Below are 26,620 nucleotides of genomic sequence, written 5' to 3'. Positions count from 1 at the left end.
AGATGTATGTGTTGTCTAGAAGATGGCAAAGTAGCATGGAGAGGTTTTAGAACAAGTTAACATGGTTAAATTTTGATTTGAGAAAACACCCTCTTTGCACTGTAGGAGATTGGTTGAAACAATGTAAGGCGGGAGACACAATTAAGTATAATCATCTTGAAAAACTTTTGATTGTACCACAACAGAATAAAACTCTTGACTCAACATAGCCCAAAACATGTTTGCTTGTTATGAATTATGAACATGTATTGTACTAATATACTATATATACCATAAAACCATGAAAAAAGAAATTAGAAAATGATGCCATGAATTTGAAAAAAACCAATATTTTTCTGTTATGCTACTTTTTACTATAATTAACTAGAATTTCAAGGCATAATACACACTTTGGGAAGATATGGGTAGAAATCTTTATTTTGAAGGGTCTTTATGATTTCAAAACTTTCTGAAGCTTTGTCAGATATGATTAGATTTTCATTGTTTATACTTCATAATGTGGCTAACAACAAACTTGCTCTATACATAGGATGATTTGTGCTTCCATTTGCTTAGGTTTGCTTGTGCTTGCATTTTCAGGATTATCCTTAGTTTATGGTTTTTGTCTTGTTTTTTTTTGTCTTGTTTTGTTTTGTTTTGTTTTTTGCAGTTATCCTTAGATAACTGGGTGACCTGAGTCACCCAGTGAGAGCTGATTTTGTTAAAATGAAATAATTTAATGTGGAAATCTACTCACTAATTACTGTGATGCTTAGGAAAAATTGAATGTAAATAAAGATGTGGTATAATATCAGTCCTCCATATTGTAGAACTCTCACTCTTTCTGAAAGATTCCTTTGACAACCTGACATGATATTTGAACATCTGAAGTGCAGACTAAGAAAAGTTACAAGACAAATTTGTATATTACATAGAAATATAGCTCAATTGTTTTCTAACTTTAAGGTAAAAATAACTTAAATATAGTGTTTTCTTCCCATACCCCAGGGATTCATCATAGAAACTCCTGGAGTTCACACACCTAGTTTTGAGGTCATTGCCCTAGAGGATACTAGAACCAAGCAGTAGAATGGGAGTGGTGAAGAAAAATGTAAAAGGTAGAATCAAGTGGATGTCATGCCAAAAGACATATTCTTTTAATGATTCCTGTTGAATCAATTAAGTTTTCTTCTCTAAAAATTTATCCTATTATAACTTTCATTTTTATCCACACATTAAATCTGAAGTACTGCAGAGTATAGCTGTCATTTCAGGTTCTTTTAATATTCTTATTTGTTTTTACTTATATTTCCAAAATGTTATACCATGACATGCATTATGATACATAAACAATGAAAATCCAATTATATCTGACAAAAAGTCAAAAACTAAGTTTTGTAGCACTATTTTAAATTAAAATATAAAGAATCTAATTAAACACAGGAAAGATATTTTTAAAACTTTTGTGTTTGTTTTCCAAATATCTAGAAATGTCTAAATTATCTGTTAAAAAATCTTGGAAATGTATGCAAGATAGCATGAGGGAATCCAAATCTGTTCTGACTGGTACCCATTCTACTGAAACTATTTCCAAAAATTGAGGAGGAGTGACACCTCCCTGAGTCATTTTACAAAGCCAGCATCACTTAATACCAAAAGCCGGTGAAGACACAACACAAAAAGAAAACCACAGGCCCATGTCTCTGCTAAAGATAGACACAAAAATACTCAACAAAATACTAGCAAACCAAATCCAGCAGTACAGTGAAAACTTAACTCACTGCAGTCAAGTAGGCGTCATTCTGGGATGCAAGGTTGGTTCAGCATATACAAATCAATAGATGTGATTCACCACATAAACAATTAAAATGAAAATGATATGATGATCTCAATACACATGAAAAAAGACTTCAATAAGATACAACATCCCTTCATGATAAAAACCCTTAACAAACTAGGCATCGAAGGAACATACCTCAAAATAATAAGACCCATCTATCACAACCCCACAGCCAACATCATAATGAATGGACAAAAGCAGGAGCCATTCTCCTTAAGAGTTGGAACAAGACAAGGATGCCCACTCTCACAGCTCCTTTTTAACATAGGGAAGTACTTGCCAGAACAATCAGGCAAGAGAAAGAAATAAAAGGCATTCAAATAGGAAATGAAGAAGTCAAACTATCTCTTTTCACTGACAATACATTTCTACACTTAGAAAACATTAAAGACTGCCAAAAGGCTCCTGGAACTGATAAATGACTTTAGTAAATTTTTGGGATACAAAGTCAATGTACAAAATCAGTAGCGTTTCTACACACCAATAATGTTCAAGCTGAGAGCCAAATAAAAAATGCAATCCCACTTACAGTAGCCCCCCAATATAAAATATCTAGGAATATATCTAACCAAGGAAGTAACAGTTCTTTTCAAGGAGAACTACAAAACATTGCTGAAATAAATAATCTGTGACAAAAACAAATGCAAAAACATTCCATGCTCATGGATTGGAGGAATCAATATCAGTAAAATGGCCACACTGCCCAAGGCAATATACAGATTCAATACTATTCCTGTCAGATAACTACCAATATCATTTTTCACAGAATTAGAAAAACCTATTCTAAAATCTATATGGAACCAAAAAAGGTCCTGGATCACCAAATCAATCCTAAGCAAAAAGAACAAAACTGGAGGCATCACATTACTTGACTTTATAATATAAGGCTACTGTAACCAAAACAGCATGATATCAGTATAAAAACAGGCATATGGACCAACAGAACAGAATAGAGGACCCAGAAATAAAGCCACACACTTATAGCCATCTGATCTTCAACAAAGTCAACAAAAATAAGTAATGGGGAAAAGACTTCCTAGTCAATAAATAGTACTGGGAATGCTGGTTAGCTATAAACAGAAGAATGAAACTAGCCCAGGTGTGGTGGCTTGTGCCTATAATCCCAGCACTTTTGGAGGGTGAGGCAGGCAGATCACTTGAGGTCAGGAGTTTGAGACCAGCCGGGCAAACATAGTGAAACACTGTCTGTACTAAAAATACAAGAATTAGCTAGGTGTGGTAGTGTGCACCTGTAGTCTCAGCTACTTGGGAGACTGAGACAGGAGAATCACTTGAACCTTGGAGGTGGAGTTTGCAGTGAGCTTAGATTGTGCTACTGCACTCCAGCCTGGATAACAGACTGAGACTTTGTCTCAAAAAAAAAAAAAAAAAAAAAAAAAGAAGAAGAATGAAACTAGACCCCTGCCATTCACCATATACAAAAATTAACTCAAGATGGATTAAAGATTTAAATATAAGATCTCAAACTATAAGAATCCTAGAGAAAAATCTTGGAAACACCATTCTAGACATGGGCCTTGGGAAAAATTTATGAATAAGTTCTGAAAAGCAATTGCAACAAAAACAAAAATTGACAAATGGGACCTAATTAAACTGAAGAGCTTCTGCACAGTAAAAATAAACTATCAACAGACAACCTACAGAACGGGAGAAATTATCCAGAAACTCTGCATGTTACAAAAGTCCAAAATCCAGAATCCATAAGGAACTTAAGCAATTCAACGAGCAATAAACAAATAGCCCCATTAAGAAATGGGCAAAAGACATGAACAGACACTTCTAAAAAGAAGATATACAAGTGGCCAACAAACATAAAAAAATGCTCAACACCATTAATTATCAGAGAAATGCAAATCAACACTACAATAGGATACCATCTCACACCAGTCAGAATGATTGTTAAAAGGTCAAAAACAAGATACTTGTGAGGATGCAGAGAAAAGGGAATTCTTATGCACTGTTGTTGTGAATGTAAACTATTTCAGCCACTGTGGAAAGCAGTGTGGAGATTTCTCAAAGAACTTAAAACAGAACTACCATTTGATGCAGAAATTCTGCATTTCACATCTCTATCTTTAAATACGTAAATTAGTACTGTCTAATATTTTCATCTAAGTCTCTCTGTCTCTTTCCTTTACCCTCCTTTCACCCCATAATTATCCTGAACTTGTAATATATTATTCCCATGTTTTTACACCCTGCTTATTAACCTTGTATAACAAATACTATTATTTAAAAATGTGTGTGTGTATAGCATTATGTTACATATTTTAATTGGCAATTTGCTTTTTCCAACTCAATATCATGATGCAAAGATTTAATTTATTTACAGTTCTATGTAGTATTCCATTGTATGAATAAGCTACACTGCATTGTCTAATTGAGGGCAACTTGGGTATTTACTCTTTTTCCCTATTACAAACATTGCTACAGTAAATATCCTCTCTCTGTCTCCTTTGGCATACAATAGAGAGACTTTTAAAGTAGGTATCTAAGATGTGAAATTGCTGGGTCTTAGGGTGTGTGTATCATCAGCATTATAAGATAATTTCAAATTGCTCACCAAAATGGTGGTATCAATTTACATTCTTGTCCGAATTTTCATTTTCGAATACCCTTATTTTCATAGTATTAATAGCCTATGTATTTCTGCGAAACTAATGGATATGGAGTGGTGTTTCATTGTTTAATTTTTATTTCCTTGATTATTGTGAGGTTGAGCAGTTTTAATGCTTTATTGACAAGTCAGGTTTTTTTTTCTGTTTCTTTAAACTTTTGCCATATTTTTTCTATTGGGTTACTTGTCTTTTAAAAATATAGAAGCAATTTTATATTCTGGATTACAATCTTCTTTTACATATAAGTTTTAAAAATATTTTCTACTTTGTGGCTGGTCTTTTTACTTTATTTGTCTTACGAATGTTTCTAATTTAAAAGTAGTATTTATCAAATTTTCCCTCTAGGAGCCTTGGTTTTTATACTTTCTTTTTAAGAAACCTCTCCTTTCTCCCTATATTATTGCACAAGAATTTCTTTTTATTTTCTTTTTTTTTTTTTTGAGGCAGTGTTTCGCTCTTGTTGACCAGGCTGGAGTGCAGTGGCACAATCTCTTTGGCTCACTGCAACCTCCGCCTTCTGGTTTCAAGCAATTCTCCTGCCTCAGCCTCCTGAGTAGCTGGGATTACAGGCGCCCACCACCACACCTGGCTAATTTTTGTGTTTTTAGTAGAGATGAGGTTTCACCACGTTGGCCAGGCTGGTCTCGAACTCCTGACCTTGTGATCCGCCCGCCTCAGCCTCCCAAAGTGCTGGGATTACAGGCGTGAGCCACCGTGCCCGGCTCTTGCACAGGAGTCTTTAAATCGTATGGTATATTTAAAATAATCACTTCTTTCTTCATAATGTTGTGTTCTTACTTAACAATAAGGATTTGAAATTTAAAAAACAAATGACTGGAAAGAAGCCAGTATGAAAAGGCTACATACATACTGTATGATTTCAACCATGTGCCATTCTTTACAAAACTATAATAGAGACACTAAAGATACCAGTGATTGCCAGCAGTTTGGCGGGAGGGAGGGACCAATAGGCAGAGCACAGAGGATATTTAGGGCAGTGACATTCTTCTGTATGATACTGTAACAGTGGATACCTGTCATTACACATTTGATAAAACCTATAGAATATACACCACAGAATGAATCCTAATGTAAACTATGGATTTTAGTTAATAATAATGTATCAATATTAGCTCATCAATAATGACAGATGTACTACACCAGTGCAAGGTGTGAATAATAAGGGAAAATGGGGAGGAGTGGATCAGGGGGCATATAGGAACCCTGTACTTTGTGCTAGTTTTTCTATAAACCTAAAATTACTCTAAAAGTTAAAGTCTGTTAATTTTTTTAAAATGCATTCTCTAGCAATGAATTTTTTCACATATGAAAGTGATTGGATTCTTAAGAAAATATTAGAGAAGGACTGTTTTTGTGATTCAGAAATAAATTATCTGATAGCTAGGGTGCCCAGACTAGTATCGGTTTATGGTTCTTGTTGTAGAGTAATTATAAATAGCTTTCTCCATCACTCTCAAAAGGTGTCCCATTTAGACAATAAATTAGATGATGGTTCTGCTTGTAATCCTATAAGTTTGACTTTCAACTATGAGATACACAGGTTTCTTTTTGACTAAAATAGGTTGGAGGGTGATTTATAGATGTTTTCCCACATTTCTTCATTTTTAGTATAAGAACCAGCTTGGTTTTCAGCAGTATGATTATCTCTGGCTCTGGGCTCAGAAATGACAGTTATAATTAATAATTTGGGAAAAATGTCATAGTTTATGCTAGGAGAGAAATGTGGTGTCAGTAAGAAGTGTATTTTAGAGGCAATAAGTCTTATTCACTGGGAAAAGGAGTTGGAATATTTCTTTACATGAAACATGAAGATAAGTTTGCCATTCTGGGTTCTTCTGCTTTGCTCTTTGCCTTGTTCTGCTTGCTTGTATGCAGGAGGAAGTAAACTTGGGCTCTGGTATCAACTCTGCTACGTGGTCTGAGAAAAGACACTTGATCTTTTGGAGTCTCTGTTTCTTCATCTGGAGAAAAAGACACTTGTGTCAGAGGATATGCTCTTTTAGTACTGAAATTACATGACAAATGTGTTCTGCATTTTTTACATATGATATTAGAAGTAGTGGGAGATAACGCTGGAAAAATAAATGATGTAAGAAGGTGGAGGTTCTGAGAAGTTCAGACTTTGGACTTGCATATGTAACCGTGAAAAAGTATCTGGAATCAAACAAAAATTTGCAATGAGAGCAATTAGAACATCAGAAAAAGATATTATAAACAACTGTTTGAAGGCATTTGAGGGAGGCAACCGGTACTTGAAAAGCCATAATCACACTAAGAAGGTGTGTTAGTTCATTTGAGTTGCTATAAAGGAATATCTGAGACTGGGTAAATGTATAAAGAAAATAAGTTATGGCTTGTGTTTCTGCAGGTTATACAGGAAGCATGGCACTGACATCTGCTCCTGGTGAGGCTTCAAGAAGCTTTCAATCATGGCAGAAGGCAAGAGGGGAGCAGGTGCATCAGACGGCAAGAGAGGGAGCAAGAGAGGAGGTGCTAGGCTCCTTTTAAACAACCTACTCTTTTGTGAACTAATAGAGCAATAACTCACGTTGTCATCAAGGGGATGGCGCTAAGCCATTCATGGGGGAACCACTACCATGAGCCAACAGCTCACAGTAGACCTCACCTCCAATACTTAGGATCACAATTTCAACATGAGATTTTGAGGGGACAAATATCCAAACCACATCAGATGGTAACAAACATTATATGCTTTGCTTATGCCTTCTGAAATTTAGGTGACTCTTGGTGCTAGGTGTGCAGTTGACAACTTGGGGAGAGCTCCTTCTAAAAGACAAAGGACCCTGTAGAACTTTGGCAACAATCTGGCGCTGAAAAAACAAAACTTGGATTTCAGGGCTGTCAAAGCAACCAAGATCTGAGAGTCTAATTACTAGAGTGAAGAGAAGCACTGGAAAGTAAGCTTGACCCTCTGTGTTTTTCCACATGATAAAATTCTTAAACTGCTCAAGGTTAGAGCTTAAACAAAAACATACTGGGAAACATAGTGGGATTATTGGCAGTGTCTCATAATCTGATGAAGAGAAAAAATAAAGTTCAGGATATGTCAAAGAGAAGGAACCTAGTAAATATCCCAGACTTTTAGTCAGGGTCGCTAGAGAAACAGTTCTCTGTGGACATTTGTCTATGTCTTTGGATGTATGTGCTCTCCAAACCTCATGTTGAAATATGCTCCCCATTGTTGGAAGTCGGGCCTAGTGTGAGGTGTGGGATCATGGTGTCTTAGTGCCATTCCCTTGGTGATGGTATGTGGCAGGTGAAACAGAAGCATACGGAAGTTTACCAAGCCTGAAATCCAGCCTCAAGTAATCTGTCTTGGATTAGACTGAGACATTCTCTTTTTACGCTAGCTGAATGGGAAAGATGACAAAAAATATTGTCTGGAGACTATCCAAATTTTCAAACACAATGTATGATATTTAAAAAGATGCATATGCACATACACACAGACACACACACACACACACACACACACACACACAAAGAGTCTGAATTTTTTTAAAAATAGGCAATAGAAAGTAGTGTTAAGGCATGAACCATGACCGGGTGTAGTGGCTCATGCCTGTAATCCCAGCAGTTTGGGAGGCTGAGGTGGGTGGAACACGAGGTCAGGAGTTGGAGACTAGCCTGGCCAACATGGTGAAACCTCGTCTCTACTAAAAATACAAAAAATTAGCCAGGCATAGTGGTGTGCACCTGTAATCCCAGCTACTCAGGAGGCTGAGGCAGGAGAATCGCTTGAACCTGGGAGGCTGAGGTTGCAGTGAGCTGAGGTTGAGGTTGTGCCATCATACTCCAGCCTGGGCAACAGAGCGAGACTCCATCTCAAAAAAAAAAAAAAAAAAAAAAAAAAAGAAGACTTGAACCGTAATGAACTGTTATCATCCAGAGTCCTTCAGTGTAACCAATAATGGGAGGGTATATATAGGACCAAGAAAAAGGTGGGGAGAATTGCAAGAATAATTTACCTATAGTTCCTAAAAACAGTTAAATCAGTTGGAATCTCTGTGTTGTAAATAACATAAATCCTATTCTAACAGACTAAAACAATGGAGAATTCATTTGTTCATTAACTGAACATTCTAGGGCTGGGCTGGGCTTTTGGGTGGATTAGTTCTGGGGTTCAACTCTGTCATCAAAAACTCAATTCTGCTTTGTACAGTGTCATCTGTAAGTCTTCCCTGACGGTAGCAAAGTGGCTACAAGAATTCCAGAATTCTCATGTGCACAACTCTCTTCACAATAAAGGAGAGGGCTGTTGTAGCTTTCTCAGAATTGCAAGAAATATTCTACATTTGGAATCTCCAGGAAACATTTTTCCAAAATTAATTGGTATAAATTGAGTTAAATGGAACAAACCCTTTGATCAGTAACTGAAAAATGAAATGGAAATGCTCTGACTGGTTAAAAAGAATAACAGCCCACTCCTGGTGCAGAACACTACATATTTCAAAAGCAAAGAAAGAGGTGTTAGAGAAGCATAATCAATAGCTACTACAGAAGTTCTGAATAAAACATATGCAAAATATGATGAAAGACAAAACATACAGCTATAAAGGAAAGAAATGGCAAAGACTGCAGGTCGAGTGACTATCCTAGAAGAACCTGTGTGATATGATTTTGCTGTGTCCCCACCCAAATCTCATCTTGAATTGTAGCTCCCATAATTCCCACATGTTGTGGGAGGCACCCAGTGGGAGGTAATTGAATCATGAGGGCAGGTCTTTTCCATTCTGTTCTCATGATAATAAATAAGTCTCATCAGATCTGATATTTTTTTAAAGGGAAGTTCCTCTACACAGCTCTCTTGCCTGTGGCCACATAAGACGTGACTTTGCTCCTCCTTCGCCTTCTGCCATGATTGTGGGGATTCCCCAGCCATGTGGAACTGTGAGTCCATTAAACCTCTTTTCTTTATAAATTACCCAGTCTCAGGTATGTCCTTATTAGCAGCATGAGAACAGACTCATACAATGTGCTACAGGAAACAGAAAAAAAAAAAAATTCCAAAGCAAATGCTGGGAACTATCAAATTTAAGATGAATATTGAATACCTGGGAGAAAAGGTTAAAAAGATAAGCAATTTGGAAGATTGTACAAATTAAATGTGGATATCTGTAAGTCAATTTAAAAACACTGGAGTAAAAATAGCATGATTACTGGTTTAATTTAAAAATTAGAAATAGGGCAGTACAGAAACAAGGAGGGTAGCAATCAAATCAGTAACAGGGAGGAAGTTCCTAGGAAAATAACAAATAGAGCAAAAAAAAAAAAAAATGTAAAGAGGCTATGATATGTATGGAGGCCAGAAATTGGAGATTAAACCCATCAATACATGGTATTCCCTAAAGTGTAGACTAACATAATTCAAATAGAATGCATCCAAAGATGTAATAGAAAACTCCCATGAAGTGAAAGAAAATCCAATTCTGTGAATCAAAAAGTCTTCCTCTATACCAATAAAAGCTATTGACTGAGAGCACAAAAACATTCTTGCGAGATGATCAAATTTTAAGAACAGTCCCCTCCCCCCAACCCTCATCACCAAAAAACAAACAAACAAATAAACAAACAAAAACTTTGATTTTAGATTTAGAAAATCTTTTTAAAGGATAAAAAAGCAATCTGAATCGTGGATTCAATATTTAATGTTATTCCATTACAAACCTCAAGTTTTTGTGAATGTGTATGTGTTCATGTACATGCAGATACGTGCATATTCGTGCATATTCCTGTATATGTGAAACTTTACAAGATAATTTAAAAATTTACATCAACATCCCGGAGGGGTGGCTCATGCCTGTAATCACAACACTTTGGGAGGCCTAGGCGGAAGGATGGCTTGAGGTCAGCAGTTTGAGACCAGCCTGGGCAACGTAGCAAGACTCTGTCTCTATAAAAACTAAAATAAATAAATAAATAATAAATAAACAAATTAGCCAGGTGTGGTAATGTGTACCTATAGTCTCAGCTCTGCTGGAGGTTGAGGTGAGAGGGTCACTTGAGCCCAGGAGTTTGAGGTTGCAGTAAGTCATGATTGTGTCACTGCACTCCAGCCTGTCTTAAAAAAAAAAATTACACTGAAGAACAAAGGATGAATAATTATTTGCCTTTCCAGTGCTAGAGTAATTATGACCATGTGATATTGACCATGTGATATTGGCATGTGTAATCCCTGAACATATCAACATATTACAACTAAACTCTACTTATGACAGGGTGGATTGCACATGCAGTCATGAAGAATGAACTTTTCAATGCATAGTATTTAAATAATTGGTTAGACACACAAGAAAGAAATTGGACTCCAGCCTTTTACTTATGCAAAAACAAATCTCAAGTGGGTTAAAAACATAAATATAAAGTGACAAAATTATAAAATTTGAAAAGAAAACAAGAATAATTTTAATATCTTAGGTGAAGAAAAAGTTCTTATGACACAAAAAGGGCAGAACCAAAACGGAGACCATAGACATATTTGGCTCAAATAAAACCAGGGACTTCTGTTTATCAAAAGACATCTTAAAGAAAGTGTTGGCAAAGGTTTGAAGCAATCAGAACTCTTAGACATTGCTGGTGGGAATATAAATCAGTATAGTCATATTGGAAAACAGCTTGCATTACCTCATAAATGCAAAGCTACCCCACTTCTTTAATACGCTCTAGAGAAAATGATGCGCATGACTATCGGGACTCATATAATCATGTTTGTAGCAGTACATTTTGCAAAAGCAAAACAAACAGACAAACACATTGGAAATAACCCAAATATCATTCAGGAATAGAATGGATGGATGGATGCCTGGTGATGTAGACATTCTACTGAATCCTAGAAACGTGTGTAAAGGAATAAACTACATCTACTGCAAGAACTGGATAAATCTTAGAAAAATAATATAGGGGGGAAGCTAGTCATAGCAGGATATGTAGGATATTATAATATTTATATAAAGATGGTTTCTCAATAATTATTAAACTAGAAAAAATAGTGGTGGAATCAATGAACAAATATGAGTTGGAGATTTGAAAAATCAAAACCAAACCATAAACTAGATAAAACCATCTAAAGTAATCAAGAAACAAAGTAGAAAGAACACAAGTGTGTATACAATTAAAATGTGTTAGTTTTTTATTGCTGCTGCAACAAATTACCACAAAGTGGTTTAAAACAACACAAATGTATTATCTCACAATTCTGCAGGTCGGATGTACGGGGGGTTCAGGTGGTCAGCTGGTTGGTCTGCTCCAGGTCTTGTGAGGATGAAATCAATGTGCCTGCCAATCTGCTCTCATCTGGAAGCTCTGAGGAATCTGCTTTCAAGCTCTGTTGGCAGAATTGAGCTCCTTTTGGTTGTAGGGCTAAGGTCACTGTTTCCCCGCTGGCTGTCAGTCCAGCTTCTTCGGCTCTTTAAGGTTTCCTGCATTCTTTGTCAACCTTCCACCTCCCTCTTCAAACCAGTAGCAATGTGTCACATCATTTGCCTTCTTTCAGTCTCTCTCACTTTCACTTCTACCACATTCCTCCCGCTACATCCTTATGATTCCAGCTGGAGAAAATAATCTGCTTTTAAGGGCTCATGTATTATGATTGGGTCTACCAAGATGATCCAGGAAAATCTCTCCTTCTCAAGGTCTATGGCCGTAATCACTTCTGCCAAGTCCCTTTGTCGTGTAACATAACATATTCACACACTCTGTAGATTAGGGCCTGGGTATCTTGGGAGCGTGTGGTGGGCGGTGAGGAAGGTACTATTTTACCTATCATAAAAGAATTAGAAAAGAGAAATATCCACCAATGCAGAAAAATAGAAAATAAATTATAAAGTACAACTTTGTGCAAATAAATGTGAAAACCGACTGAAGTGGATGATTTTCTGAAAAACATAATTTGCTAAATATTAGACGCAAAGAGCCAGAAAAAAATCTATCCATGGAAAGGAATTAAGAATATCACATTTCCCACAAAAGCACCAGTTCAAATGTTTTCCCAATTATATTTTTTTCAAATCTTGATGCAATAGATACTTTCAATATTATCTACATGATCCCAGAAATGTAAGAAAGGGTGTGTCCGCTATTGTTTATTGGTATCCAGCTCCTTATCTGACCACCTGCATTCTCTATATATCGAGGGTCTAGAAGCAGGACTTTTGTTAGCCGGGTCCTGGTGATTTTTGCCTATTGGAGGAGCTAGGGCAAGATTAGGAAGGAAAAGCAGTGGAGAAGCCACGTTCTGCCTCTGGCAGTGGTGGCTGGTCCAACTCTGGTGTGAGAGGGCTCGTGAGTGGCAGGGATGTGGGCTGCAGAGGCTCTGATGGCCACAAGTGCACGGAGGTCTCCCCTTCACGGGTTGCATCTGCTTCCCGTCAGTCTTAACCTCATGATGAAACTAACTTCTCTCTTTTGTCCTGCTATCCCTTCCAAATATTTTGAGACCCAGTTTTCTATTTTAAGTCTTTCTTTGCTTGTAATACCCTGAGTGGTTTTTGTTCTTCTTACTGGAATCTGACAGATACAGAAGGTAATCTTTTGAGTTATGTTTATAAAGCCCACTAAAATTGATCATATAATCTGACAAAGGCAGCATAAAAATAAAACTGAAAGCCGGTTTTATTAATGAATGTCAATGCGAAATGTATAAGTGAAATGCAATATAAAATATTAAAAACAGAATTTAATGGATAATTTTCAAAGTAATAAATCATGGGTAACTAGGGCTCATCCCAAAATCATTTATCATATGAATATGTCAAAGGACTACAAGAGAATGAAATAGCAGGTGTAAATTTTTGAAAGGGGAGACAAGTTTATTTTTTATGATAATGTGCTTTTATAGCACCAAAGAATCAGCTGAAGAGTTATTTAAAACAATATGAATATTTAATAAGGTGACTGGTTTCAAAATTAATTTATAAAATAATTAGCTTTTAGTTTAAAAACAATAACTAGTATGAAAGAAAACATCTCAATAACAAAAGCAAAGAGAAAAGTAAAGTTGGAAATAAACTTTTGAAAATGTACAGAATTTACATGAAGGAAACTTGAGAACACTGGCAATGGGCATAAAAAATAACTGAAGATATGAAAAGATATATATTGCCTTGTTGGTTAGAAGGTTCAACATTGCATAGATAGGAATTCTTTGTAACTTAATCTACAAAAAACATACTTTCCCATCAAAATACAAGCGTGTTTTTATTTTATTTTCTGTTTTTGGAATCTGACAAAATAATTCTAGAATATAAATTTGAGAAGTACTAAGAGAAAAAAGAAAAGTAATGTGGGTGGACTAGCTGTATCCAAATATAAAATGTACCATAAATGTTATAGTAATTAAAACAGTATGGCAATGATGCAAGAATAGACTTGCTGACAATGAAACAGAGCAGAAATCTCAAAATAGACTCAAGTGTCCATGAAAATTTAATATATGATACAGTTGACATTTCAAATCTTTGAAATATGTACTTCTTAATATATAGTAATACGATAATTAGCTACTCATATGATGTAAGCTTAAATATGCCAGACACTACTCTCTCATATCAAAACAAACTCCAAATTTGTAAAAAAAAAAAAAAAAAAGACAAATAAAAATTATAAATATTAGAAGTGCGCGTAGGTGAACTAGTTGGTATTCTTTGAGTGAAGAAAGCTTTTCTAAGAATAAACATAAAACCCAAAAATGTTAAAAGAAAATAACTGATATAATAACATATTTTAAATTTTTTGTTAGGTAAGATAGGTGGAAGGATGAACGGATGGAAAGACAGACAGATCGTTAAATAAATAAAGTCAAAATATAAATATTACACTGAACAAAAAATACTTGTAAAGCCCATGTCAAGCAAAAGGATTGAGACCCTAAATATTCAGAAAAGTACATTGAAATTAATGTGATAAAGACTAACAATTCAACAGGAAAATGTGCAAAATATATGAACAATAGTCAAAGGGAAAGAAATACAAATGTCTAATAGCCTAGGGATATTCCCAACATTCTTCAAAATTAATGAAATTCAATTTTAAATAATGGAACACACTTTCTCATGCATCACAATGGGAAAAATTAAATAAATCTATAATCCTATTACACTTTGAGAGAGTATAAAACAGTACAACCTTTTTGGAGGTAAAGAGGCAATTTCTATACAGATATCAGATAAAGAAATACCACGGCTGGGATTTTCCCTGCAGATTTCATGTATGTATGTATGTATGTATGTATGTACATACATACATACATGTATGTAAGTATGTATGTATTTTTGAGACAGAGTCTGAGTCTATCGCCCAGGCTGGAGTGCAGTAGCGCAATCTGGGCTCACTGCAACATCTGCCTCCCAGGTTTAAGAAATTCTCTGCTTAAGCCTCCTGAATAGCTGGGCTTACAGGCACGTGCCACCATGCCCAGCTAATTTTTTTGTATTTTTAGTAGAGTCAGGTTTCACCATCTTGGCAAGGCTAGTCTGGAACTCCTGAACTTGTGATCCACCCGCCTCGGCCTCCCAAAGTGCTGGGATTACAGGTGTGAGCTACCGCACCCGGCCTCATTTATGTATTTAACAAATATTAATGAACACTTACTATGTGACCTTTTCTATGTTAAATACCAGGGATATAGCAGTGACCAAGACAAAGTCCTTGCCCTTACAGTGCAATCTAAAATGTAGTGTTGCTCATAATGACTAAAAAACAAACAAACAAAAAACCCTGAGTGGTAGGAGAATCTCTGTGTGTTGGTAATACATACAGCATTATATCATACAATTATTAAAAAAAAATAAGAGAAGTATAAATGTACTATTGTGGGAAACATTTATGAACTACGTGACACAGAAAAACAAGTCACAGCAATTTGCATAGTATGCTTTTTTCAAACTCGTGAAGATTACACACACATACTCATATACCTACAAAATAACAAAATATCTGGAAGAATATACACCTCATTCAAGAGATCACATCTGGGAAGTGGTATGGGAGGGAGGATGTTCATCCTAACTTCAAAAAATTACAGATGGTTTAATTTTTTCCTATAGCTATGTATTACTTATTTAACTATTTAAAAATCATTTTAGATCCTTTCAGAAAGAGATCTCTCAAAGGGTCTTCTGTATCTATGTCCACATTGAGATCTGTTGGTGAACTCCAAGTTCTCATCTCCCCCTGTGGGGAATGGATTCCTGCCTAATTAAGCATCTCAGCCAGCAGGGAAGGTACAAGTGACACTATTTGGAACACCTGGACTCTCACCGAGAGTTGCACTCCTTAATTATGTGACAACCCATCGCAGCTAGAACTGATTTCATTTTTGAAGTTCAACACTTTGTAGCATTTTTTACTAAGCTTTCCTTCACCTTTGTGCAGCCCTTATTCTGGAAGTCATGCTTGCCAATGTTTGGTGTTTGAAGTTGCCAACGGGGAGAGCTATAGTTTATTTTCTAATTCACAAATAATCATAAGGTGGTTATTTTCATAATCTACCCTTTTTATTCAGTGCCCGCGCCAAACAGGAAGAATCTACCGCCTTGACACTTCACGTTGTAAATAAACCTTTTCTGGCTTCAATAATGATCCCAAGGCAGTAGTGCTGTGGGCATCTTAAAACGAAACTTTCTTACACAGAAGAGGTTTACAATTCTGTAAAGGTGTTGTGATGGCATTTATGTAGTCTGATATTCTGCAATGCAGTCATACCTACAAATATGATGGATTATATTTTAGGCACAGTGATTGTTTTCAGTTGGGGGAAAAGCCTCCACAGATGAATTGATATAGGGCTCCATGCTGGGTCTTATGCATTAATCATGAAGTATCATGCTTATGCAAATGTGTGGAAGCCCAATTAGGCAGAGAGCACAGAGCCCTGGGAATAATGTTATGGGCTATTGGGCCTTTGAAATACACTCCTTGGCCAAATTTTCGAAAGCAAAGCAGATTTGAGATGCCTTTTTACTCTTGAAAACAGGTGTACAATTGTCTTCTTAGTGCTTATTTCATGCCTTCAACCTTAAAATAAAGCTTTCTCCCAGTTGGCATGATTTTCCCTGGTAGCTCAACAGGAGCGATGGAAATTCTGAATCACTGACGAGAAAATAAAATGTTCATTCAAAATCTAGACGTGCTGAGAATATTGAGGATACATCAATATTTGGGGGTTTTGTCACACATTTTGAATGTTTCATATATTCAGTTTTCCTCTGGCAAAGTCTGCCATCTCTTATATTTTGTGTGATTGATCAAAATATTCTGGTTTCTGTTTTGCAAACCCTCTGCATACAATGCAAATATTGTGAAGGGAAAATACAAAATTCTGGGAGACAATCTCACACTTTTATGTATTACTTCCCATTTTCAAACTTTATTTTGCTAACTTAAACTGCTGATGTCTTACCTCTGGCTCTTATTTTCATAAGACATCTGCTGGAACTGCTCCAATATTCGAGGAGGATGTAGTGCAGGGTGGGAATGAGGGAGGATAAAAAGAAAGATTAGTTTACTATCCCCCATTTAAATGACTCTACCTAAGAGGGTCATTTTGAACAAGGGTATGTCTACACTGCCATTTGCTAAGATTAAGCAGATACATTGGTAAATCCAGTGTTATCACATAAAAAAACTCCATAGTTTAGGAAAAAAGACACTTTAAAGTTTTTTTTTTTGCAGTCAGATATAATCACTACCTCAATCTAATTTAACAAAAGCTTCAGATACATATTGAACATTTTCTTATTTGACTGGAAACCAGCCTAGGTTCTCCAAAACTCTACTTTCCTCAGCAAAATTATCTAGGAAACCGCTGATTAATAGGTCATTTATGATACAATCCTTGCTTCCTTCACAGCTGATGGTTGGGAGTGCGGTGAAGAATTGGCAGGGAAAGGAGAGAGCAGGAAAGGGGAGTGGAGATAGAGTGGAAAGAGGGGGAAAACTAGAAGGTCAAGGGAGAAAATCTCTATAAAAGGACTTTCTGTATAATGTTTGGCAGTTGAAGCTAATGTCTGAAAAACTCTCCTTTGGAAGGAGAAGAGACTTCTTGACTTTTAAAAATAGTGTTAATTCACTGCTCTGTTTTTTAGAATGCTCCTGGCTATGTGAGTTGCACTTCCAATTAGATCTGGTTGAAAACTTTGTACAGAAATCTAAAGCCCTTCGATTGCAATTTATTACATTAGGCTGTTCAACAAAAGATTGGCCTCTCTTAGCTCAAACCAGAGTATGGCTTTGGTAAGTTTGCTTAGTAGATCTTTTTGATACAGATTCTTAATCCTGAAAACAAAATTACCCTTTCTTTCCTCTCTCACTCTGTCTCAGTCTTTCCCTCTCATGCACACAGAGGACTCTAATAATTAATTTTTTTTAAAAAAGTAGTCATTCTATGAAGACTATAGGAAAAAAAAAACTCTCCATGTAACCATTGTTTCAGTGGAGAAACTCATTTCTAAACATATAATTAAAAAACCAGGACTGGCAAGCGGACTTAGTAGGAAACACACTATACTTCCTACAGCTTTTAAGTAGCTATGGGAAGACAGTGGCACCCACTTACCGAAAGCAGGACCTGCTACATTACTGGGGCCCCTGCCTCCATCTCCAAACCTGGAAGTACTCTCTTCCTCAACAGCATGGGCCTGAAATCAGAGGCCCACAAAGAGGGTGATCAAAGGGTGAAGAAAAGGCACACCTTCCCATGAAAACATCTGATTTCCATTGGAGGTAAATCTGTTTAGGCGTGTTCTGTTTTCATAGTAACAACTGAAACAGCAACTGAATAAGTAAGGTGATAGAAAACTATGATGTCAAGAAGAAATTTGTTGAACAGAAATTTAATAAAAATGATACCCTTGAGTTTTCTTCTCCACAAACAAGGTTATAAACATGATCTTTGTGCCAATATTTTGCTTGTTTGTTTGCTTACTTCTTGTTGCTGTTCTTGGTTTTTGTGTTTACTATGCAAGACAAGTATCTCTTTCCTATACGATTGGGACTAAGGGAGCAGAATGATGCTTGGAACTGAAAGACATGTCCTTAAGAATATATAAAATAATGTGGTAAAGTGGTAGTATTTCAGACTAGATAGCCTTTGCTGGAAAAGGTGATGCTCATTCCCCACAGAATTGCAGAGAAAGAAGAAAGGACACACTAAAATTTTCTAGAGTACTCTACCATCACCTACCACACATCTTGCCCTTTTGCCAAATACATCCTCCAACCCTGTTTGTAACTTATCCTAAGACAAAAATCTCATTATGATTCTACCAGTTAATGGCCAGCAGGTTTGCTCCATCCTAACATAACCTTGTCCTTTCTCAGTTAGACACATTACACTCTTCTGCATTTACTATCTCCACCATTGTTCCTCACTCTACTTAGACTTTACTTCTTAATTTGAACAAATACTATGACTCTATAGCAGCAGTTCTCAAAGTGTCATCTGAGGACTCTTAAGGGGTTCTTAAGACACCTTCAGGGGGTTCTCAAAGTCAAAACTATTTTTTTGTAATATTACTTGTCTTTCCACTCCTAGTCTCTAAGAAGTGTGCAGTTGAGTTTTGCAGATGAAACGTGAAGTGAGTTATCACAACAGACTGAATGCAGATGCACATATGAACATCCAGCTGTTAGCCAGACGTTAGTGAAATTTGCAAAAATGTGGAGCCAAATCCATCTCACTAATTTTTTGTCATTTGGAAAATATAGTTATGTTTCATTAATACATATTTATGTTAACATAAAATGGGTTTATTGTTATTTTAAGCTATTTATTAATAAATACATGTCCTTAAAATTCCTGAGTTTTAAATTTGTAATATGGTAAATATTAATAGATATAACCAACATAAAAAAGGCTCTTTGGAATCCTCCATACTTCTTAAGAATGTTAAGGACTCATGAGACCAAAACATTTGAGATCTCTGGTCTACAGGGCGAGCAGAACAGAGCAGCTAAAGAACGTAAAGCCTTTGTCTCCAGTGCTCCAAAATATTTTCCTGAGGACGTGGAGATTAAGTATAGGTGGTACTTGCTTTACAACAACTCAATTTATTAAGATTAGAATTCACAAGGAAGATAATTAGTTGGTGAAATTCAAATTACAAAAAGGTTTTTCTGAGATTGTTTTAAGTACACTGCACTTTAACAGTATTTTAAAGAATGACTAGTTTTCAAAACCGTAAGTACATTTTCAACTTCTGAAGACATGTAGTGTGACCTGGCGAACACCTTGGTCTAATCCTAGGTAGATTTAATATAACACTCTTTAGATATGAGAAAAATAATAGTAATTTAATTGGGTTTTAAAGACAAGGAAGGTGAGAAGTCTATATTTGGCATTTTTTAACGAGAAATTTATAACATAGAATAAGAAATAGAGAAAGTTAAAATGTGACAGGCTCTAGAAGAAAGAGATTAATATCATTTTCAGAAACAATTGATTTTTAGTGTGAGGTTTTTTTTCTTTAAAGGTAAAAATATGAAGAGCAAACAATCATCATAGGAGAAACTAGATTATTCTGTGAGATTTGAGGCAGAGTGTTGATATTTGAAGTACCATTTTTAAAAATTAGAGTAGGGAAACTTGATTAAAATTGGTTTAAGGGGAATCAAGGATTGAGAAATAGAAGCCCACAGTCAAGGTTGGGTCCTGCAGAGAAAGAGCTGTTCAACTTGGAATTAACAGATAGGTTCGGGGGCCAGTGAGGAAAGACTGAATTTGAACTACGCAAGAGCAAAAAATACTAGCTCTCCAGTAGAAATATAAATGAAATAGAGTCATGCATTGTTTAAGTCACATCCTTAGGCGATTTCGTTGTTGCGCAAACATCAGAATGTGCTTACACAAACCTAAATGGTATAGCCTACTACACACCTAGGCTATCTGGTATAGGCTATTGCTCCTAGGTTACAAACCTGTACAGCACATTACTGTACTGAATACTGTTGGAAATTGTAGCTCAATGGCAAGTATTTGTGTATCAGAACATAGAAAAGGTACAGTAAATGTAAAGTATTATAATTTTATGGAACCATTGTTATGTATGTGGTCAGTCATTGACCTAAGTGTCATTATGTACTGCATGACTAGTGAAGGAACAAGTTAACTAGTTGCATCTAGTTAGTAACAAGAACACTGTGTGTGTGTGTCTGTGTGTGTGTGTGTGTGTGTGCGGTGCTGGCTGTGTGTTTTGTGCTGGAGTAGCCATGCCCAGATGTTCCAATCCTGCAGCACACACCCTTGATGACAGAAAGCTTGTAGTATTGATGAACCCTGAAAGTGGTCTGTCTTGAAGAGCAAGTCAAGGGGCCCAGAGGTTAGCCTTTAAGCTTCTCCTTAGCAGAAGGAGAAATGCATATATGGTTCCTTTATTTCTGGAGTGTAGTTGCTGTCCACAGAGCGGGCATAGTCACCCCTAAAAGAATCCTGTTCTTGGCAGCTATTTAAAGTAAAATGTGTTCAGCAAGGTTTCCTCATTCTGACATTTTATTTTCAGCCATTTGGATCAGTTGACATTTGACTGGCTCTCAATTTTACCATCAGAAGATGGCTTTTGCTTCTTTGTAGTGATAATACTTACGGAACTAATTTTTTATCAAATTCCTCAACATGTCATCATCTTTAGCTGAGGAAAGGACAGGGAACATCTTTCTTCAAATGAGAGCTTTTTACAGATTTTGATATTCTCTGAACATAAAAGGTTAGAATAAAAAACTTTGGTCATAGGTGTGGCCATATCCCCTACTTAAATTTTCTATATAATTTGTCTTATTTAATATATGGCACATCTACGTGTGGCTTGGACCCAGTGTAAAATCAAAGCTACTGAAAAACACTGAAGGTTTTAAATGGCTATATGACATGGTGGAAGATAAAAGGCTCCAGTCTTCCTGCCCACACCCTATAGTTCCAAGAAATTGTGAGAAATGATCTTCTAAGCTGTAGTACCTAATCTCTCTATAAGTCCTAGGTTATCCAGGAAACTTAGTCATTTAAAGCACATATTTACACTGCACACACGTCAACACACATCCTGCTAAATGCTGCTTAAGAAAGGTAAGGAAAAAAAATCAGACGTGGAAAGTGTATGTCTAAATATAGAATTTAAATTGAGAAGCTTTACCTGACAGCCCACTTGAGCAATTCATAAGCAAAAAAGCTGCAAAAATCTACAATTATAACTTAAAGAGGAGTGTGGGGAAGAGAAAAGTAAAGTTCTGTGGATAAACAAAATAGGACTACAAAAAGTTTACAGAAAAAAATCCCACAGAAAATAGTTCCTATTCTTACTCAATTTATGAAATTTTTTGAAGAATGTTTCAGGCATCTTTGGATATTTCAGAATGATAGGAAGCTCATTTATGGTAAGAAATGCTGGTGACAGGTACATACATGTATATATATGCTATGTATGTATAGTTAATCGTCAGGTATCCCCAAGCAGAAGGTTTCCCACAAGAAGAAAGCAAATCTGGTGATTAGCATCTGCAGTGGATACTACAAAATAATCTCAATTTTCTTTTCGACTTTACAGCCATGAAAAGAAGTAATGTAAATACAGCTTTCTTTGTATGGGATTGTACGTCTACTCTGATTTTACTTAAATAAGCCAGCTATATTTAAGTTGTTAAAATATAAAGAATAAATCTATGATATGGTAATACATATGTTTATTAATGTATTAAATAATAAGATCTAGTAGTGGGTCTACTAACTACAGCAATATGGAAGTACTGGTGAACACAACCAATAGTTCATAATATCCACAACGTTCCTGAGAGAAAGTAAAGGAGTTCTAAATAAATGGAGAGACAGCCCATAATCACAGACTGGAAGACGTAATATTGTTAAGATTCCTATCAAAATTCCAGAAGGCTTGTTAGAAACATATAAGCAAAAAAGACAGTAATCTCTGTCATTTTGGATCCCTTGGGGGTAGAAGGAAGAGATGTAACAATTAATATAATAAGAAAATAATTTGGTAGTTGCCAAAGGATGAGGAAAAAATATAAAAGACGATAAGGGGTTTTGGAAAGTCTGGGGGTGGGAGGCTGAAATTTAAATAGGGTGATTGGTATAGATCTTATGGAAAAAATTCCACTTAAGCAATGACCTGAAGTTCGTACGAGAGTGAACCATGTACAGGTTTCGGGGGAGCATATTTTAGAGAACAGCCCGGCAGAGGAAACAGCCACGATACACGCTCTGAGTTAGGCACGTGCCTGGCGTTTTCAAGGAGCAGTGAGAAGGCCAGGGTGGCTGGAGCAGAGTGTGCAAGGGTGAGATCAGCTGGATATAAAGTTAAGCAGTTTGTGCTGGGGCGGGGAGAGTTCCATGATGATGAAGAGCCTTGTGAATCACTGTGAAGGACTGATGCCAAAACTCCAGAAGATGTAGAAATCTACTGGGGCGTTGGAAACAGAGCAATAAGGAGTTCTGACTTACCTGTTATATCCCAGCAGCTCAGGGCTCAAGGCGGGAACCCACCCAGCCCAGGACAGTATTCTGCCATTGGGTGCACTCTAACACCCCCAACACTCACTCAGACTGGGAACATTTAGACACCCCCAATCACCTAGTGTGCACATTTGTGGCGGAAAACCAGAGTACCTGGACAAAACCCATGCAGAGATGAGGAGAATGTGCAGACCACATAGAGAGTGGCTCCCGGCTAGGAATATATATATATATTCAACAACATTATAATGAATAATGTTATTACAGAACCTACTGCACCTTTTTTTTTAAAGAACACATCACTGGGGTTGTGTTGAGAAACAAGGAGGTAAGTTAGGAAGCTATTATATACTCCACGTGAGAGATGATGGTGATGTGGATCAGGGTGGTAGTGGTTGGAAGGTTAGACATGGCCATATTATGGATCTAATCTAAATCTTGGGCCAACAGAATCTCCTAATGGACTGGATATGGCCTGAGAGAGAGGGAAAGTAAAAGAAAATGACTCCAAAGTTTGGGGCTGAACAAATGGAAGTTTGGTATTTCCATGAACTTAACCTTTATTTACTAGATACTTAGAGAGATACGGGGGAAGCAACAGTGGCTTATTGCCTTTGATGGCTTTTCCTCATCACTGGCATCAGGGAAGTTGGTGATGGTCACCCAGTTATGTCTTTCTCTAGATGGAATTTATAATGAGCCCTGATGAGAAGGGAAACTAATAAAAATGGCCATTTAAAAGCTCATTCATTAATGCAATGTTTATTTATTTGTTCTACCCATGCTTTCCTTTATTGTCTGTTAATTGAGTTATTAAGTAACTTTCATTCTTTAGCAATTTCACTTTCTTTCATAGGTGCTACAGATGGCTAAATATTCACTGTGAGGGACTGCACATGGTGAGGCTGGCTCGATGCTTGATAAAATGTAAATGATACAAAGAAACCAGTGGAGAAAGCAGGACAAGCACTTATGGTACGGTCAGCCTATTAAGGGGCCAGTGGTCAGCATTCAGTGGTCAATATTAAGGGTAATGTTGACATTGATGGTGGACAATAAGGCCCTACTTTATGTCATCAGTAGGTTCTTGGAAACAGTGACTTTAACTGAATTGATATATATATTTAACAGAACTAATTTTACCATAGGCTAATTGATACAAACAAAAGTTAAGTTCCTATGGCATATTTTTGCTCACAAAAAGTTATTAAACTTTTAAATAAAAAACAAAACACTTATAATATTAAACATTGAAATAAATGTGAGCTATGCATACATTTAAGAAAGATTAATAAAAACAAATAAGATAAAAATTTTTCCAGTTTTTCCAGTTCAGGATCATGGGTAGCAGGAGTCTATCCCAGCAGCTCAGGGCTCAAGGCGGGAACCCACCCAGCCCAGGACACTACTCTGTCATTGGGTGCACTCTAACACCCCCCACACTCACTCAGACTGGGAACATTTAGACACCCCCAATCACCTAGTGTGCACATTTGTGGCAGGAAACCAGAGTACCTGGACAAAACCCATGCAGACGTGAGGAGAATGTGCAGACCACACAGACAGTGGCTCCTGGCTGGGAATCTATATATTTTCACAACATTATAATGAAACAACATTATTACAGGACCTACTGCACCTTTTTTTAAAGAACTCATTGGATTTGGCTTTTATTTCTGATTATTGTTTCACATATTATTCTTTGGAGTAATTAATAGAATGTCCAAGGTTAACTTTAGTCAAGGAATAAGGAACAGGGAAAGTCTCATCTTGATAGCTCTCTGCATACAGCCAGCTAGCACAGAAAGCCAGTTAATGAGTAGCCTTGCCCAGAATGTGGTGATAGAACATTGGGTCAAGCATGTGGCTGGGGCTTAGATTCCTGAATCAAATTGTCTTAGCTGGATGGAAGAATAGGAGAGGAAGGAGGAAGGAGCTCCACTGTGTTTGCCTTGAAACGTTCCTGCTTTACCTTCAAAACTGCTGACTTTATAGTTCAAAATATTTTAGAAAACCCTATTCTCTGAAACTACTAAGGGTTGTCAATAAGCAAGGAAAGAAATGGGGAGATAAGAAATGACGTTTAAACCAAGAGAATAATGCCTGTTTACTCTGTGGTGGGATTTTTTGGATGTGTGTTCCCTTTACTTTAGTTTGGGGACTTAGCTTCAGGTTTTGAAGTAGGTAGATTCCCTCGGTATTGACCTATTTTTTCTGACAATAAATTTAAATCTGTCCTAGGCTAAAATGTGGGCCAGAGAAAGTAAAGTTATAAAAAGTGTGTATGTTTTGCAGGAGTATTGTGGACTTGGAAGTGAGAGATAAGAAAAAAAAATTATTGGGATGGAGGAAACAGACAACGGGATAGAGAACAAGAAATACAGGGGGAAATAATTTGGTTCCTTTTCCTCTAATAGTACAATTCTATAAACATTGGAACCAAAGTGAAGAAAACCACAGAGAACAGCGAGTTCCTTTTTCACCCTGTACAATGTGTAATTAGCACTTTCAGTTAAAGATATATAATATTAGGGTCAACTCCAGGCAAAAGAATAAAGTCAGTGAATGTATTTTCATAATCTTCCTATTCCTCTTTCATTGGTCTTTCACCTCCCTTTGGGTGCAGTCATAATATACACACTGGCATTCAACTCAAGCCTCCTGGAAATTTCCATGTGGGTGTGCTGAATCTTCTCTGACCTTCTTCAGAATATACTTGTAGAGTGTCCCACACTTTCAGTGCCTGGAATGTAACTAGAGTTAATGAAATCTCATAACAACAACAACAAAAACCCCACTCTAAATCATATGATTAATTTACTTTTTAACTAGAGAATTATCTAGGTAATAAATAATAACTTCTAGCTAATAGCTGAGTTCTTAAATCATTCTAGATGGTATTTTCACTTTGATAAGATACTTTTCTTATATTATTTCTTACCCAAGAGAAATAACATGTCCATTTTAGGCACTGTAAGAGAATGCTGAGAGAGAGGTATTTTAATATGAGGGTCCTTTCAGTTCCCTTAATTCTGACCTTTAGGCAATTACCTGTTCAGGCCCAGGAAGCCATATAGGCAAACAATGAAAAGCCAGTTATTTCGTGAACTATTTATTCAAGATTTTCTGTAAACTCCAGATTTTCATCACCAAAATGATAAAATGGGAAATACCTTTAAGGAAGAAAAGGAATTGGAGATTCTCTATACTGGGAACTATTTTTAAGAGCTATATGAAATTATAGATTCCTTAATCATTCCATTTCACAGGATTAAGATAAACAGGCTGTAATTATCATAGAAGAAACTAATTTAAGACCCAAGGAAAACAGTTTGCCACCTTTTGGAATCTCCAATTTAAAGAATTTGCAACTTCTACCTCTGTGATCTTTAGGACTAGGTTTGATAAGTCTCTGGATTGGCTGGTTTGCTTGTCAACCTGATGCCATGAAGAGCTCTTACATTTTTTTTTTCCAATACTAGGATTTGGAACTTTTGGAGCATCCCAGCATTGTCTTTTCCTGACACAAACAAGAGGCAGTAAAAATGGTGGTGCTTTCTTAGTTGTGAGCTCCCTCAGGCATATCAAAAGTTAACTGAGATCCCTGCCTAATTGCGGAGATTAAATTCTCATGCTGCTCTTTTACAAATATTTCAAATTATTTGT

Source organism: Homo sapiens, chromosome 14 (genome assembly GCF_000001405.40).
Source record: "Homo sapiens chromosome 14, GRCh38.p14 Primary Assembly".
Classification (NCBI taxonomy): Eukaryota; Metazoa; Chordata; class Mammalia; order Primates; family Hominidae; genus Homo; species Homo sapiens.
The sequence above is the reverse complement of the archived record's forward strand: the minus strand, read 5'-3'. Positions refer to the sequence as shown.